The following is an 18564-nucleotide window of genomic DNA, read 5'->3' on the forward strand; positions in this document are numbered from 1 at the left end:
AGCAAAAGAAACTACATCAGAGTGAACAGGCAACCTACAAAATAGGAGAAAATTTTTGCAACCTACTCATCTGACAGAGGGCTAATATCCAGAATCTACAATGAACTCAAACAAATTTACAAGAAAAAAACAAACAACCCCATCAAAAAGTGGGAGAAGGACATGAACAGACACTTCTCAAAAGAAGACATTTATGCAGCCAAAAAACACATGAAAAAATGCTCACCATCACTGGCCATCAGAGAAATGCAAATCAAAACCACAATGAGATACCATCTCACACCAGTTAGAATGGCAATCATTAAAAAGTCAGGAAACAACAGGTGCTGGAGAGGATGTGGAGAAATAGGAACACTTTTACACTGTTGGTGGGACTGTAAACTAGTTCAACCATTGTGGAAGTCAGTGTGGTGATTCCTCCGGGATCTAGAACTAGAAATACCATTTGACCCAGCCATCCCATTACTGGGTGTATACCCTAAGGACTATAAATAATGCTGCTATAAAGACACATGCACACGTATGTTTATTGCGGCACTATTCACAATAGCAAAGACTTGGAAGCAACCCAAATGTCCAACGATAGACTGGATTAAGAAAATGTGGCACATATACACCATGGAATACTATGCAGCCATAAAAAATGATGAGTTCATGTCCTTTGTAGGGACATGGATGAAATTGGAAATCATCATTCTCAGTAAACTATCGCAAGAACAAAAAACCAAACACTGCATATTCTCACTCATAGGTGGGAATTGAACAATGAGAACACATGGACACAGGAAGGGGAACATCACACTCTGGGGACTGTTGTGGGGTGGGGGGAGCGGGGAGGGATAGCTTTAGGAGATATACCTAATGCTAAATGACAATTTAATGGGTGCAGCACACCAGCATGGCACATGTATACATATGTAACTAACCTGCACATTGTGCACATGTACCCTATAACTTAAAGTATAATAATAATAAAATTTAAAAAAAAAGAAAGATGATCTCACCACGACCAAGTGCAATTTATTCTTAGAATGCAAGGATATCTTAAAACATGAATTTTTTAACATATAAAAATTGATCAATGTGTACACATTAACAAAATAAAAGAAACATTGATCACCTCATGGATGCAGAGAAAAGTATTTTATGAAATTCAAAATCTTTTCAGGGTGAAAACACTCAAAAAAGTAGGAATTTTAAAACTAAAATACTACCATTGTGAAATCCACACATTAAAAAACCACATCAAACAATGTACTCCAGGGTGAAAGACAAAAAGCTTCTGCTCTAAGCTCAGGAACAAGGCAAAGGTGTCTGCTTTTGCTATTTCTATTCCACATAGTGTTGGAAGTTCTAGTCAAATTAAGAATTAAAAAGAAACAAACTATCCAAATTGGAAATGTAGAGGTAAAATTACTCTAGCCTACAGATAATATAATTTTATGTGGAAAGCTCTAGAGATTTCACAGATCCACACAAAAAGTATTACAACTAATAAATTCAGCATAGTAGCAGCATACAAAATTAACATGCAAATATCACTTGTGTTTCTATACAGTAATGATGAATAATTAGAAAACAAAACTAAGCAAACAAGCACATTTACAATAGCACTGAAAAGAATAAAATACGTCGGGAGTAACAAAAAAAGCAAAAAATTCTATTTTGCAGAAATAGAAAAATCCTACCTAAATTTCATATGGAATCTCAAGGGACCCCAATGAGTCAAAATTATCTTGAAAAAGAAGTCCAGTGTTACAAAATGTACACTTATTCATTCCAAAGCTTAATACAAAGTTCCAAAATAGTGTGGTACTGGCAAAGAGACACACATATGGACACTGGAACAGTATAAAGCAGCATATGGTCAAATAATTTTTGATGGGGATACAAAGACCGTTCAATGGGCAAAGGACTGTCTTTATAACAATTGGTGCTGGGAAAAAATGGATATCCACAAGCAAAAGGATGAAGTTGAACATTTACCCTACACCATAAACAAATAAAAATGCATCAAAGACCTAAAGGTAAGAACTTAAAGTATAAAATTTTTGAATAAAATATAAGTAGAAAACATCATGACAATATCACAAATATAATGACACATTTAAAAAAGTAGATGTGGCCAGGCATGGTGGCTCACGCCTGTAATCCCAGCACTTTGGGAGGAGGAGGCAGCCGGATAACGAGGTCAAGAGATTGAGACCATCCTGGTCAACATGGTGAAACCCCGTCTCTACTAAAAATACAAAAATCAGCTGGGCGTGGTGGCGCATGCCTGTAGTCCCAGATACTTGGGAGGCTGAGGCATAAGAATCGCTTGAACCCAGGAGGTGGAGGTTGCAGTGAGCCGAGACAGGCCACGGCACTGTACAGCCTGGTGACAGAGCGAGACTCTGTCTCAAATAACTAAAAAAGAAAAAAAGAAAAAGTAGGTGTAAAACTATCCATAGTAGATACTCTCATTTACATAAAATCCAGTAAGAAAACAAAACTGAAGTTCTGGCTTCCGGTAATACTGGAGTAGCTTGCTAAACTAACACTCTCACAGATAACAATGATACAATCTGGATAAAATATTATATATAGTTACATAGAAACATTCATCTATATACAATACATACATACGTGTGTGTGACTGAATGAGAATTTCAACCTTTCCCACCGTAGGGAAGATAATTATTCTGTTTGAATTCAGCCACATTTACCCCCTCTTCAAATAATAACAATGCTCTTCCAAAGAATACAACAGAATTTAGTCTCTATAACTAATATTTATAATTTCTATTACACAATATTAAAATTCATAAAATGTGTGAAGAAATGTAACATGCAAACTATACACAAGATAAAAAGCAGGCAGCAGAAGCTATTTCTAAGATGTCCGAGATGATGTAATCAGCAGACAAGTATTTCAGGGCAGCTATTATAAGTACGTTCATGGGGGTAAAGGAAAATATTCTCATAATGAATTAACTCATGTAGAGTCTCAGCAGAGACATGGAAATTATAAAAAGAGTAAAATAGAAGACAATAAAATAATAAAATAAAAAGAACTTTTAGTTTACAGAGTAGAAACAGAAGACAGCAATATAAACCATCCAATCTGAAGACTGAAACAAGTTTAAAGAAAATGAAAAGAGGCCTAAGAGACCTGTGAAATGATTGAGTCTGAGACAGAGAGGGAGAGACAGAAAAATTAAATATAATACAAAAACAAATAAACAATAGCTGAAAATTTAAAAACTTGGTCAAAACCGCAAATTCTTATATTCAAAAGGTGAACACACTCCAAAACAAAAACAAAAACAAATAAAACCATATCGAGGCCCTACTGTGATTTAGAAAACTGGCAGAGCAAGATTTTCCAGGGAGTTGCTATGATTTCTCATTTTCACTATTTATAATAATGGAAAATATGCACTCCTTAGTTTTCTTCTTGGAGAAAGTCTGACTTGTCAAACACAGATGACTTTTCAGTTTAGTTTTCAAGGTTTAATTTCTTACCTTGGAAATCAATTAAATTTGTTTCTTTAAAATGTCGCAGTAAAATTGCTCCTCCAGACAGATGTCCACGGAGATTCTGTCCTGCTGCGTCCGCCTTTCACAGAACTGAGGTTGTTCCTACACCAGTTTCAGAAGCGTGTAGGCACGCTTTATTACAGTGGCAGCAGCGTCCCTGTGCGAGGTCTAACCCAGGTGTGGGCCCTGCAGCCAGCCCGGGGGTCCAATGGGTCCTCCTATGGAGCACAGGAAGAATCGTGGCAGGCCAGAGATAGACAAAAGGTGGCTTTTAAAAGGGAAGTGTCAGGTTACCAGGGACTGGGTACTTTTACACGCGGACCTTCGGCCCTGCCCATAGAAAGGGGCAGCACTGCGCATCTCTGAAGGAGTGTGGCAAAGGGTGGGGCAATAAGAAGGGTGGGGCAGAAAGGAGTGGCCCCTCAGGAGGAAGGGGCGGGGAGATCCCAGCTACTAGAGGACGCCCGTTCCAATGGCAACTCTGCCAAGGCGCCTATGAGAGCCTCTTGGCTTTTACCTGGTCTGCGAGAAATCAAACTTTGGGCACAAGTCATGAAGCCGACAAGCCCGGGAGACACAGTGTCAGAATTACAAGGTGAGATCAGCCGCCCGGCCAAGCTATCTTCTCGCTAGCAGGTGAGGCCCGTGAACAGCCAAGCTCCCCTTGGCACGGCGGAACCGCAGTGGACGCGTGGAGGGGCTCCGTAGAGGAGGGACCTTTGCTTGGGATGCGGGGAGCTGTAGTCTCTTATCTGCACCCAGCTTGTTAGTTGTACGCCTGCAGGACTACAATCTCAGCACAAAGCAGGATTGTAGGGCGGTGCGGATCCCTGGAGGGAGACAGCGCGGTGCGCTCCTGCCGGCCATGCTGGCTGGGGTGGTGTCTTAGGCGGTTCCAGCCGTTAGTCACAGGGCGGCCGGACTACAATCCCAGCATACAACGGGAGTGGAGGTGGTGACCTTGAGAGAGGGCCTGTGCTGTGCGCGCCTCGCGGGGCATGCTGGGAGCAGTAGCATCTTAGCTGCTTCCGGCCGCTGGTCGCAGGGCTGCGGGACTACAATCTTCGCATGAAATGGAAGAGAGGGTGGTGCGGATAGCTTGAGGAAGGTACGGATACCTTGAGGGAGGTATGGATACGTTGAGGGAGGTACGGATACGTTGAGGGAGGTTACGGATACGTTAAGGGAGGTACAGCAGCGGTGCGCGCCTTGCAGGGCATGCTGAGAGGAACAGTTTTTTAACTGCTTCTGGCTGTTGGTGGCAGAGCTGCGGGACTACAATCCCAGTATGCTACGGGAGTGGGGATGATGCTGGTCCCTTGAGGGGGGGGGGCAGCGCGGTGCCCTCCTGCCGGGCATGCTGGTAATAGTGTCTTAGCTGCTTCCGGCCGTTGGTCGCAGGGCTATGGGACTACAGTCTCAGCATGCGCAGGGTTCAAGGGTGTTGCGCAGCCCCGCAGGGAGGGGCAGGGCGGTGTTGACCTCTGTTTCCAAACCCATGCTGGCTACTGAATCTGTGCCACCCCTGGCTAAGGGGAGTGAGTCCATAGAGGGACTTGAAGGGCAGGTCTGGGCTGGGCAGTGAGGAGAGTATGATACTGCAAAGTGCGCCTCGCCTTTGCCAAAATCGGTCGGGTCTCAGGCTCACCCCACCTCCCGCTGCTCAGTTCCGTTTCCCTCCAGAGCATCAAGCCTCCTCCCGCCCAGGGGGCCTCCTGCTTTCCTAAGCTGCTGTGGAATCGGCCTGAGGTCCCAGACGCTGTCCATTGTGCTGCTGCTCTCTGCTTTCTCCAGCCAGAGTGCCAGTTCATCCGCTTTTGGGAGAACTCCGCCGCCTGGCCTGCCCGCGGAAAAGGTCACAGCTTTGCAGGGGGTGACATGGGCTATGGCTTCCTGGAAATGTCACCCTCACTAGCGCCTTTTAGATAGATGTGAATTTTGAGACATGAGGGAGAGTAATTATTGGTTTACCCAGGAGATGCTAAGAGCAGAGGAGAAAACCCTAATTTCCAGGCATGTGTCCTGAGCCAGGGACAGGCTGGCCAGACCCTAAGCCCCCAGTGCCGCCAGAGAGCAGCCTACTGCCCTGATTTGTGTGGAATCCCCTTCGTGCTGCTGGGCCTTAGCGTCAGGGACAGCCCAGTCAGGTGAAGGTGGGGATGACCCATGGGCTTCTGGAAGTGGGTTGGTGGTCCTGGGAGGGCCAGCCCATCCCCCCTTGGAGAGGGTCTTTGTGCTGAAGGATGCCCACAGAGGCCTGGGTACCAGGAACACTGCTCTAGGCAAGGTGCCTTTCTTCCAGATTTGGCTGAAAGGAAGGAAGACTTGGTCAGCTTTTCCACCCAGCCATCTGGCCCTTACAGGGCTGCTCCCCATGGACCTGGGTTTGTAGAGTCCTCCAGGGCTTTGTGTGGCCCACTAGTTCTGATACTGAGGACACCCCTGCAGGCTGTTAATTTCAGAACAAGGGGTGTGTGCAGACTGGGGCATGGGTGCTGTCAGGGTACCCCAGGCTGCTCCAGGGACGGTACCCCAGTGTTCAACTTGGCTTGGGGCCCCCTGCCTCATGCCCTTACTCCAGGGCTGCTTGGCCTGGGCTTGAGCCATGGTCCAGAACTCAGGTGGCCCCATTGCCACCTAATATAAGGGCCTGTCTCCACAGTGGGTGAGACGCCCCTGGGCACTGGGCTCTTCAGTCATCCAGGGCTATCCACTCCATGGCATGAGTTCCCACATTCAGCTGAACTCTGTCTGGCTCTGGACTGGGGTCCCTCCTGTGCCCTTTCCCTGAATCCTCTCTGGGTCCGAGACACTGATCCTCTTCACTCTCTGGCTTAAGGCTTGTTCTCCTGACCTCCTTGGAGGGGTGCTCAGGATTGAGGACCCCTGCTGTTCTCTGGGGCTGTTGGTACTCGGAGGTGTGGGTGTTGGCTTGCACTGAGAAGTCCAACCCCTTCAGTGCCCTTCAGGGGTCCTTTAAGAGCAGGAGTGATAGGGTGTGGGGGAGTGCCTTAGAGGGGTCTTGCCCTCATCCCCTGCCCTGTCTCTGAGACGTGTCCAGTAAACCTGAGGTCAGCACCTCAGGAATGAAATAATGTCTTTTGCAGCAACTTGAATGAAGCTGGAGGCCATTATTCCAAGTGAAATAACTCAGGAATTAAAAATCAAATGCCATATGTTCTCACTTATAAGTTGGAGCTAAGCCATGCGTATGCAAAGGCATGCGGGGTGACATAATGGACTTTGGAGACTCAGACATGAGGGTGGCAGGTGGATGAAGGATGAAAAAACTACCTGTTGAGTACAATATATACTACTCAGGTGACAAGTGCACTAAAATCTCAGAATCCAACACTATATAATTCATTCATGTAACCAAAAACCACTTGTACCCAAATGATATTGACATTAAAAAAAATTTAAAACTAACAAAATTTATAATAAAAGCTTTTTAAAAAATAAAAAATAAAAACAGTGTCAAAGTGTTAATTTATTGTGCATTGCATAGCAAGCCCCTTTTGCTCAGTACCACACTCACTACTGGAGAAACAAAACCTTGAAAATTAAAGAAGAACCTGCACATAAATGATAATTCTGATAAGTTATTTATACACTGCCTACATGAATATTACAGATATGTGTTAAAGACAAAGATCTATGTTAGATTGGGTCAGCTTTATGCTTGGTCATTATATTTCCAATTCTTCTCTCTCAAAATACAACAGTCATGGGTTGCCATGGTGATTATTCCAAATGCATTGTGATCATATGGAACTGGTGACGTGTTCTCATTTCCCTTTCAGTTATAAAATAAGCCTGATGTTCCTAGCCATCAAAATCTCACTAACACCTAACTACTTCAGTTTCAACTGTGGTTCCTATTTCAAGACAATCACTCAAGGTTGCAAATCACAGAAAGACAAGAATGTTTTCATTAACCAAAACATTAATCAAAAATTATACCCCTTGAGGCCATGTAATTTGGTTTTTATTTAGTTTATTGTCTATTCAGGTCCATAAAGCCTACAACTGCAACAATATATACAGTTCATGATGACTTAATATTTATTGAATAGTAAAATTAATACATGTTAAGAGTAGATCTGGCTTCAGGTAATCAGGGCTGAAGTGATATGTGCAGTGGTCAAGGACAAATGTCAATGTATAATCTGACCTCCTGCACTCGAAACACACATCAATACTTTAAATGCCTCAGAAGAAAGTCACGTAGGAGAATAAATGAAAGAAAATAGAAAAGTTGTTAATTAGATTAAGAAGGAATTAAACCTGGTTTTAAAATAGAGAGATAAAGACATACAATATAAAAATACTGAAGAACAAGTAGCATAGGCAGAGGAGCACTAAAGGTATAACAGGAAAGAAATATATCTAAAAATATTAGTTTCTGAGTTAAGATTGTAGATGTAGAGACCTGACAAAAAGAGTTGTTCCTACACATTAACCAACCAAACAAACAAAAAAGCTGGAGAAACTACAAACGCATGGTCGATTTCTCCTGAGCCCTTTAGAGAACTGAGGTCATGGGGAAGACAACAAACTCAACATCAGGGCATGCAGGAGCCTGGCCCCAGGCTTTCAAGTGCACCCTGGTGAACTGGTATAATTAAGCCAGAACATTTGAACTAGTTCCTGGTGGCTGTGTGTCAGTGGGTGAGGAGAATGAGAAACCCTGGAGTCTACAGACATAGAGTTTACATTTTTCTGTATATTTTTTCTAGGAACACTACAAGGCCTGTTAGAGAAGAAAGGGTAGAATCCCGAGAATGTTTTCCCCACAGTGCTGATAAGGAGAGACCACTATCCCATCTACTGCTACAGCTCTGGAGACAGAGCTCTCCCACCTGTCATATAGAACACAAGGACCAATCTGCAGAGAAAGAGCATCCAAACCTGATCCAGTGGACACTGGGGAAAAACTCACCACAGCTGAGTGTGGAAAAACAAGGCCAACACACACATCTCTGCACAGATACATCTCCCATAAAGAAACTAAAGTGTTAATTTACAGGGCACTGTTGCAGACCCACTTCAGCTGGAAGCTAGGAACATGGACAAGGAGCCTCTCTACCACCAAGGGAGAGAGAGGAATGTGCTCTTGTCCTGGCATTGCATCCACAGGAGGGGCAGGAAATTCTTTGAAGGTCAGTAACCCCATACCCCAATTAACAGTGCTTAAGTGTGAGGCTCCCTCAGAACATCAGAGATATCCTCACTCCCTCACCCCTGCCACCAGGCTAAGAAGCATGGAGCAAAAAAAAAAAAAAAAAAAACAGAACAAAACAGCAGAATATAGCTGGGCCAAGTGCAAGAGACCAAAGTATAATGAGAGGGATTTGAATTATTTTTTTGACAGAGTCTTGCCCTGTTGCTCTGGCTGGAGTGTAGTGGCATGATGTCAGCTCACTGCAACCGTCACCTCCCGGGTTCAAGCAATTTTTCCGCCTCAGTCTCCTGAGCAGCTGGTATTACAGGCGCCCACCACCACGCCCAGCTAATTTTTTTGTATTTTTAGGAGAGATGGGGTCCCTCTCTGGTGGTAAAATTGATGAGAATATGACACTTTTTATCATTAATCTAGTAAAAATAAAACAAAGTGTTATTTTTCTGATATAGATTTATACTTCAGTATATGTCAGGCAGACTGTAAAGAACTCTATCAGAATATTGATAAAATAATGCAACACTAAATATTAAATATTATATACTTATATATAATTATTATATTGCCCAAAATAGCATATTCTCTAATGCGTATTTTGCAGTAGGTTTGTAAATAGCTTCTTTCTCTCATGACAATCTTTCTTCTTTTTCTAATGTCTGATCAAGCCCATAGACTTTATAATCAGTCTTTGGTTCCTGGTCCATTTAATTAATGGTGGTGTTTTCCCTAACATCCATAATTGTGCATATGCTTTGTGGCTTACAGTATTAAGAATACCCCAATATATAAGTGAGGATAATGAAGATAAACTTGATCTGTATTATCTGCCTTCTGAGAGTGCTCAGGGGCTTTACCTTCAACCGAAGGGCAAGCTGGTTGCTACGTCTCATAGTGAGTGCTGAGTTTTGCATTTAGATTGATAAGTGTGTGCTGTATCCAATAGAAGCGAATTCTTCTTTACACTCAGATCGACCTATGTGACTTCATGGGTTTTTGTTCTATTTCACTCGGGTATGCCCAGGTTTTCAGATCTCATGACTACTTTATTTTGGAGTTGCCAGACTCAGCAAATAAAAATACACGACACACAGTTAAGTTTAATATTCAGAAAGAAAACTGTTGTGGCAAGTCAGGGACCCCAAACGGAGGGACCGGCTGAAGCCATGGCAGAAGAACAAGGATTGTGAAGATTTCATGGACATTTATTAGTTCCCCAAATTAATACTTTTATAATTTCTTATGTCTGTCTTTACTGCAATCTCTAAACATAAGTTGTGAAGATTTCATGGACACTTATCACTTCCCCAGTCAATATCCTTGTGATTTCCTATGCCTGTCTTTACTTTAATCTCTTAATCCTGTCAGCTGAGAAGGATGTATATTGCCTCAGGACCCTGTAATAATTGCATTAACTGCACAAATTATACAGCGTGTGTGTTTAAACAATATGAAATCTGGGCACTTTGAAAAAAGAACAAGATAACAGCAGTGTTTAGGAAACAAGATAGATAGCCTTAAACTCTGACTGCTGGTGAGCCGGGCAGAACAGAGCCATATTTCTCTTCTTTCAAAAGCAAATGGGAGAAATATCGCTGAATTCTTTCTCATGATGGAACATCCCTGAGAAAGAGAATGTGTGCCTGCGGGTAGGTCTCTGAACTGGCCCCCCTGGGCATAGCCTGTCTCTTATGGTCGAGGCTGCCGAGATGAAATAGACTCCAGTCTCCCACAGCGCTCCCAGGCTTATTAGGAAGAGGAAATTCCCGCCTAATAAATTTTGGTCAGACCAGTTGATCTCAAAACCCTGTCTCCTGATAAGATGTTATCAATGACAATGGTGCCCAAAACTTCATTAGCAATTTTAATTTCGCATCGGTCCTGTGGTCCTGTGATTGCGCCCTGCCTCCACTTGCCTTGTGATATTCTATTATCCTGTTAAGTACTTGATGTCTGTCACCCACACCTAGTCGCACACTCCCTCCTCTTTTGAAAATCTCTAGTAAAAACTTGCTGGTTTTTGTGGTTTGTGGGCCATCACAGATCCTACCAACGTGTGATGTCTCCCCCGGACGCCCAGCTTTAAAATTTCTCTTTTGTACTCTGTCCCTTTATTTCTCAAGCTGGCCGACACTTAGGAAAAATAGAAAAAAACCTACGTGATTATCGGGGCAGGTTCCCCAATAGAAAACAAATAACTTTTTAGTATAACTATAAAATAAACATTTGCGTGTAATATTTCTATTCCCACCTATTATATATTACATACATACACACACACACACACACACACACATCCTTTTGCTTACCTGAATTTCATATTTAATGTTCTTGGACTTTTTTTGTTGACCTCAATCCATAAGAACTGTAGTTCTCCCCAGTACAGTTTCAGCACCAATGACCAAGTCTCATCAGAGGAGGCCACATGATGATCTAGCAGATAGACTCTTTATTCAGTATGTGAGAGTCATTTACAGACTGGGGACATAAATTAGAAATGATGAGCTGGATGTCTTTTAGGGTGAAAAATTACTAAATTTCTAATCTATGTTACTTTTTCTATTTATTCTCTCTGTTACATAACCTATGATACAGACAGAATAATAATATAATTCTGATACATGGTTAATGAATAATTCCACATATATATGTGATTTATATCCAAATATTGCTTTACTTGTAGTGGTTTGTTAACCTTCTAATGTGGAGATCATTGAGCCTTTCCGTGAGTATTCTCCTGGTGTTTCTCCTGAGTGCCACATGGCAACAGATTTTAACTGAGCTGAGGGCCCAAATGTGCATTGTTGAGAACTATCAATTGCTTGGTTCTGGAAGTTGAAATAAATATGTCCCTTTATTAGATTAAGTGCTTGAAGAAAAAGTAAATAAGATACTGCAATTTCTCCCTATAAACTCATACATATCAGGTATGCAGTTTCTTCTGTATAAACTCATACATATCAGATATGCACTTTCTCCTTTATAAACTCATACGTATCAGGTGGGTTTAGAGCAATATTCTACCTCAGCCATTATTCTCTGAGTACAAGCCAAGAATGCAAACTGTCACATGATCTGTATTGCCTTGCATATTTATGCTTACGGGCCAGAGTAGTTTTAACTGACGTTGAAAACAGTTGAACACTCTTACATCTCACGGGAGGAATAGAGTGAATATAAAAGATTTTTCTCAGCATTTTACAGCTGAATTGTTCTACATCCAGTATTAAATTGATTTAATAAAATAATACTGCCAGCATCCAAAGAAGATACCATGAGAACAATTTCTGAATTATTCAGTACAATTTCATAATAATATTTTCATACGGAGATCTCTCAATTAACATATGAGAGAAATTGTCTTTATTATTTGAGAGCAAAGTATTTTTGAAGACATGAGTGGGTATCTTTATATTAAGTGAAGTCTTAAGAAAAAGATCCCCGTGTGAGCATTTTAATGTAACTTTATGAATGCCATAAATTTGAAAAATGTGTTTTTTGTTCTCTGGAAAATTGAGAGCAGGACTTTTTAACACTTCCATTCTGAGACGTTAAAGAGAGTTAATATAAGGGGTCTCATATAAAAACTAAGCTAGAGGAGAACCAAAGCGTTTTGAAAAGATACAGTTAGTACAACTGTAGGGACCAGCCCCACAGGGTTGGTGGGTCTCTCCCCATGTGTGGAGACAAGAGAGTGTGTAGAAATAAAGACACAAGACAAAGATAAAAGAAAAGGCAGCTGGGCCTGGGGGACCACTACCACCAAGTCGCGGAGACTGGTAGTGGCCCCAAATGCCAGGCTGCACTGATATTTATTGGATATAAGACAAAGGGGCAGGATAAGGAGAGTTAGCCATCTCCAATCATAGGTAAGGCCACGTGGGTCACATGTCCACTGGACAGGGGCCCCTTCCCTGCCTGGCAGCCAAGGCAGAGAGAGAGAGGAGACAGAGAGAAACAGCTTACGCCATTATTTCTGCTTATTAGAGACTTTTAGTACTTTCACTAATTTTGCTACTGCTATCTAGAAGGCAGAGCCAGGTGTACAGGATGGAACATGAAGGCGGACTAGGAGCGTGACCACTGAAGCACAGCATCACAGGGAGTTGGTTAGGCCTCCGGATAACTGTGGGCGAGCCTGACTAATGTTAGGCTCCACAAGAAGTGGAGGAGTAGAGTCTTCTCTAAACCGCCCCCACCCCGCGGGGAAAGGGAGACTCCCATTCCCGGTCTGCTAAGTAGCCGGTGTTTTTCCTTGACACTGAGGCTACCGCTAGACCACGGTCCGCCTGGCAACGGGCATCTTCCCAGACGATGGCGTTACCGCTAGACCAAGGAGCCCTCTGGTGGCCCTGTCTGGGCATAACAGAAGCCTCGCACTCTTGTCTTCTGGTCACACTCCTCACTATGTCCCCTCAGCTCCTATCTCTGTATGGCCTTTTTTTTCCTAGGTTATGATTATAGAGTGAGGATTATTATAATACTGGAATAAAGAGTAATTGCTACAAACTAATGATTAATGATATTCATATATAATCATATCTAAGATCTATATTTGGTATAACTATTCTTGTTTTATGTTTTATTATACTGGAACAGCTTGTGTCCTTGGTCTCTTGCCTCGGCACCTGGGTGGCTTGCTGCCCACATACAACAATGTTCATATCCTAAACTCCAGAATCTGTGAATATCTTAGGTAATGTGACAAAGGAAAATTAAGATATAGATAGTGTCAAGGTTAACAAGCAGCTGACTTCATGATAAATTATCTTTATCATGAGCAGAAGCCTCACGTAATTAGAAGGGCGCTTAAATATGAAAGAGGGAGAAAAAAAGAAACTTTATCACACTGATGTGATATTAGGTCAACTCAATGCAATATTTTTTTCCTAAGAAAATTTTTGGGGATTATTTTCCCATTAGCATAAAGTTCAGTTCAGTTGTTCAAACACCTGTGATTTATTTTTACATGCATATTACTATGGATGGTGATAATTAAACAAAAAATGCAGAAAATAAAGAAATGCTTTCTGAAGAGTGAGCCCAGGTACTATATTATTATATGAGTATAGACAATGTGGACCGTACATGTGATTACATGTGATTGTAAATGTGTGGATGTTTTATATATGTATAAGTAATTTGTTGTATAATATAGTGCTCAGGCTGCATTTTTAAAAATTTGTATGAGGTGGGTTTGATCAAGATAAATGGGTGAAATAAAAATGATAAGGTTGGTAATAGTTTTGACTATGCAATAAATAACATTGATGATAGAAGTCTTATTGCGTTTTTCAAATATAGAAAAGATGATTCCTCTTCATCATTAAGATTACCATGTTGCACTTATAGTAATATAAAAAATGCCCTTTTCTTCCAAGCTGTCATCAGACTTACAGCCAACACCTTCCTTCTCTTCCACATCTTCACAACCCTTCTGGATCACAAGCCTAAGTCCACTGACCACATCACCTGTCACCTGGACCTTGCACACTTAGTGATGCTCCTCATTGCGGTCTTCTTGGCATCTCCAGACCTGTTTAAGTAACTACATTTGCAGAATAACTTAAAGTGCAAGGCATTTTTCTACATGTACAGGGTGATGAGGAGCCTCTCCAGCTCCATCACCTTTCTCCTGACTGTGCTCCAGGTCATCACCATCAGCCCCAGCACCTCCTGGTTGGTGAAGACTAAACAGAAATTCACAGGTTACATTTTCTACTCCTGTTTCTTCCTATGGGTTCTCAGTTTGTCTCTCAGTAGTAACCTGCTTTCCCCCACTGTGGCTTCTTCTAAAGTGACCAAGACTGATGTGCTAAGTATCAGTAAATACTGCTCACTTTCTTACATAAGCTACATCTTCTAATATGACAAAGACTGATGTGCTAAGTTGTGCTTTATTTCTTGTCATTCTATTATTCCTATACATATAATTACATTCATATTGCTATTATTTTCTCTTTTTTATATGGTTGTATTCATTCTGCTGAAAACTCCAGTTCACTAATCCAGTTCACTAATTCTGTCGTCAACTCAGTCTAATTTTATATTTAACTCACATATTGTATATTAAATTTATTTACTTTTAAATTATTCCACTTATATTTGTCTCTTTTCCAAATTTGCTTGTTCAGTTTATAGTTCCCTGCTGTTTCAAAATTATTTCGATATCCTCTTTTCCCCACTTGTTTTGACTTAAAGATTTAAAATATATATCCGGCCAAGCACAGTGGCTCATGCCTGTAATCCCAATACTTTGGGAGGCCGAGGCAGGCAGATCACTTGATGTCAGGAGTTTGAGACTAGCCTGGCCAACATGGTGAAACTTTGTCTGCAGTAAAAATACAAAAATTTAGATGGGCGTCGTGGTGGGCGCCTGTAGTCTTAGCTACTCGGGAGGCTGAGGCAGGAGAATCACTTGAACTCGGGAGGTGGAGGTTGCAGTGAGCTGAGATCACGCCAATGCACTCCAGCCTGGGCAACAGACTGAGACTATCTCAAAAAAATAATATAGGTATTTCCAATATGCCAAGTTTATGCAGTGTCTAATTTCTTCTTACCCCTTTTCCTGGTACCTCATTTTCTTCTGTGCTTCATACTTTTAATGAATTAATTTTTGCAACAGGATCTGGTTTATTCTGCCTTGGCAGGGTGGTCCTGAGAGTGGCAGGTGCCACCCTCTTCTGGGCAAAGGGAGGTCCAGAAGGCCAGTTAGGGCCAATGGTGGGAGAACCTGGGGGTGGAGTGGGGTTGGGGATTTGGGCTACAGCCCCTGGAATGTGGTGAAACCAGGATGAGGCCCAGAGGCAGCTGTGGTAGGCCAGGGCAGGGCGGAAGGCACTGGACTGGAACCAGGCAAGGTCTACAGGGCCAAGATCCCAGGCCACACGGGCACCCTGGGAGGCGGAGCACAGTGTCCCATGACACAGAGCATGAAACACAGGCCCAGGGCTCACAGTAAGCACATGAACAAGTGGACACAGATTCACAGGCCAGTTGACATCCAGCCATGGTGGGACCAGAGGTAGACACGGTGTCACATACAGACCACAGGGAAGACATGGCACAATGGGACAGATGGATGTGATGGCCACAATGCACAGACCAGGCCACAGAGCTCGAGGGATATGGGAAGGGGCCTTTTGGCATTTCTGCACTGGAATCATGTGAGACAAGGGTGGCCGGGTGCTCTGGAGGTGCTGGGGTGGTCCCCTCACGGCCCCTCTGAGCTTACTCTGTCTTCCACACTTTGTTGAGCAGCTTCCTCACCTCATCATAGATGATAAACACTATGGCCACATGCAGGCAGACCCGGCCCAGGCAGGCAATAGTGCCCTTGTAGAAGGTCTTGTGCCCTTCCCTCAGGATTTGCAGCCACAGTCCCATGTGTTCTGCATTTGTGCACCTCCAGGTCTCGCATCTGGGGCTCGATCTCGTGCAGAGGAGCATTTCCGAAGACACTGGCCGCTCCCACAATGGCTCCGAAGAACCCAGCGACCAGCGGGTTCATGAGTTTGTTGGGGCTGTCCACTCGGTACCAGCTGCGCAGGGATGTCAGGACAAAGAAACAAGTTGCCTGGTTCCAGCCCTGCTTCAGCACGGGGCCTGTGGGGCCCCGGTAAGTCCCGGTGTTCCCGCACAATCTCCTAACCCTGTGGAAGAATCCCCTGTACTTGGATTTGGAGAGGTCTGGCCATGGATTAACTTCACCTTGATGGTCTCCATGGGACATAGGACCACCACGGCCTCGGCCACGCTAGCTCACTGGCCGCACCGCTGCCCGCCTTGCTGTTCACCAGTCCCTGGGCATCCCGCATCTGGTTGCTGAGGAACGCCTGACGCCGCCTTGTGGATGAAGCCGCAGAGCAGGGAGCTGAGGCTGCGGCCCAGGCCCAGGCTGCCTTGGCTGCGACTGTGTGCCTGCAGGCCCCATGCCCGGTATCCGGTGGATGCGAGTGCTAGTCCAGCTGCAGCTGCATCTTCACGAACTCGGTGGGGAACGGGATGCAGATTTTTTTTTTCTTTTCCTTCCTTCCTTCCTTCCTTCCAACTTCCTTCCTTCCTTCCCCTTTCTTTCTTTCTTTTTTTTTTTTTTTTTTTTTTGACAGAATTTTGCTCTTGTCCCCCAGGCTGGAGTGCAGTGGCGCGATCTTGGCTCACTACAACCTGGATTCAAGCGATTCTCCTGCCTCAGCCTCCCGAGTAGCTGGGATTACAGGCATGTGCCACCATTCCCGGCTAATTTTTTTGTCTTTTTAGTAGAGACGGTGTTTCCCCATGTTGGTCAGGCTGGTCTCAAACGCCTGACTCAGATGATCCGCCCGCCTCGGCCACCCAAAGTGCTGAGATTACAGGCTTGAACCACCGCGCCTGGCCCTGTGATGTAGATTTTGATGCTGCCAGCCAGGCTGCCTGCCGGGATCGCCTGCCCTGGAGCAGGAGCATCAGCCGTGCGTTCCAGGACGCAGGCATGGCATGACCGGCAGGAGGCGGAGTGCCCGGCGTCTCTTGGGATCGGAGCCTCCTGAATTCCACGCTGGGACCTTAATTTGGTTTTAACACAAATAAAGATCTCACATAAAGATAAAAGGGGATGTGTTGGCTTGTAATTTTTGTTAAAAGCAATGGTATATGTTGTATAGGATAGTGTATTGGGATCAACAGGTTTTTGGGGTTTTTTTTCAGCCCACTGACATTGAAAGGGATAAACAGTTTTTTGGTTATTAGTGAGCAGTTTTCTCTCAGGCCATAGTGTAGGGGTTTGTGGTCATGTAGATGAGAGATAGGCTGGGATTAAAATTTGTTATGGCAGTAATAAGAGCAACAGAGCTAGACTCTGTCAAAAAAAAAAAAAACATAGTTAGTAGAAGAAAAAAATCATAGGATTATAGGATTAGAGCAGAAAAAAATAAAACAAAAACTACAAAAGATTAATGAAAATATTTGGCCTTTTAGAAAAGTTAAAAATTGGCAAACCTTCAGCAGACTAAACATTTTTTTTTTAATTCAAATAAAAAAACGAGTTAAAAAAGGAGATATTACAACAGATAACACACAAATTCAAAGATTGGTTTGTGGCTACTATAAGCAACTGTATGCCAATACATTGGAAAATCTAAAAAAAAAAAAAAAATAGACAAACTCCTAGAGACATACAACCTACCAAGATTAAACAGTAAAGAAATCCAAAACCTAAACAGACCAATAACAATTAATGAGATTGAAGCTTTAATAAAAAAACTCTTCCAGGAAAGAACAGCCCAGGACCTGATGGCTTCATTACTGAATTTTACCAAACATTTCAAGAAGTAATACCAATTCCTATTCAAACTATTCTGAAAAATAAGGAGGAGGGAATACTTTCAAACTCATTCTATGAGGCCAGTTTTACCCTGATATCAAAACCAGACAAAGATACATCAAAAAAAGGAAACTGCAGGCCAATATCTCTGATAAATACTGATGCAAAAATCTCAACAAAATACTAGCAAACAGAATTCAACAATACATTAAAAAGATTATTCATTATGACCAAGTGGGGTGTATCCCTGGGATGCAAACATAGTTTAATATACACAAATCAATAAATGTGATATGTCATATCACCAGAATGAGGAAAACAGCGTGGTACTAGCATAAGAACAAACACATAGACCAGTGAAAAAGGATAGAGAACCCAGCAACAAATCCACACATTTACAGAAAACTCATTTTTGACAAAGATATCAAGAACATACAGTGGGGCAAAGACAGTCTCTTCAATAAATGGTGCTGGGGAAACTGGATATCCATATGCAAAAGAATAAAACTGGATTCCTATCTCCCACCATATCCAAAAACAAATCAAAATTAATTAAACATGT

General features: G+C 42.8%; 2 long non-coding RNA genes and 2 pseudogenes across 10 annotated transcripts in view, besides 2 other annotated features; 2 read left to right on the forward strand and 2 right to left on the reverse strand.

The window, feature by feature from the left end:
- Positions 1-1000: 1000 nt before the first annotated feature.
- On the reverse strand, positions 1001-4448 carry LINC00662 (long intergenic non-protein coding RNA 662). The gene is made up of 3 exons (NR_027301.1): positions 4040-4448; positions 3508-3740; positions 1001-2409 (listed from the first exon to the last, which is right to left on the reverse strand). It is a non-coding gene; the product is annotated as a long intergenic non-protein coding RNA 662 (long non-coding RNA).
- LINC02987 (long intergenic non-protein coding RNA 2987) overlaps positions 3939-18564 on the forward strand; it is a 231539-nt gene continuing 216913 nt past the window's right edge. For 2 of the 9 annotated variants that reach the window (NR_146733.1, NR_146735.1), the window contains exon 1: positions 3939-4117. This is a non-coding gene — a long non-coding RNA (long intergenic non-protein coding RNA 2987). Of the gene's footprint in view, positions 4159-4402; positions 4631-8261; positions 8685-16112; positions 17291-18564 lie in introns of those variants that run through there. The other 7 variants (NR_110688.2, NR_110689.2, NR_110687.1 and 4 more) reach the window with 7 other exon arrangements.
- Positions 4181-4660: an enhancer, noted in NCBI's record as "active region_14401". NCBI's record gives its function as "activates an Ori minimal core promoter by ATAC-STARR-seq in GM12878 lymphoblastoid cells {active_cell/tissue: GM12878}" and the evidence as "EXISTENCE:reporter gene assay evidence [ECO:0000049][PMID:35858748]".
- Positions 5827-6608: an enhancer, noted in NCBI's record as "H3K4me1 hESC enhancer chr19:28286227-28287008 (GRCh37/hg19 assembly coordinates)". NCBI's record gives its function as "activates a minimal SCP1, AML or CMV promoter by ChIP-STARR-seq in primed H9 embryonic stem cells {active_cell/tissue: H9 hESC(primed)}" and the evidence as "EXISTENCE:reporter gene assay evidence [ECO:0000049][PMID:30033119]".
- Positions 14049-14900, forward strand: VN1R95P (vomeronasal 1 receptor 95 pseudogene; annotated as a pseudogene).
- SLC25A1P5 (solute carrier family 25 member 1 pseudogene 5) lies at positions 15935-16716 on the reverse strand (annotated as a pseudogene).

Source organism: Homo sapiens, chromosome 19 (assembly GCF_000001405.40).
Source record: "Homo sapiens chromosome 19, GRCh38.p14 Primary Assembly".
NCBI classification, from domain to species: Eukaryota; Metazoa; Chordata; class Mammalia; order Primates; family Hominidae; genus Homo; species Homo sapiens.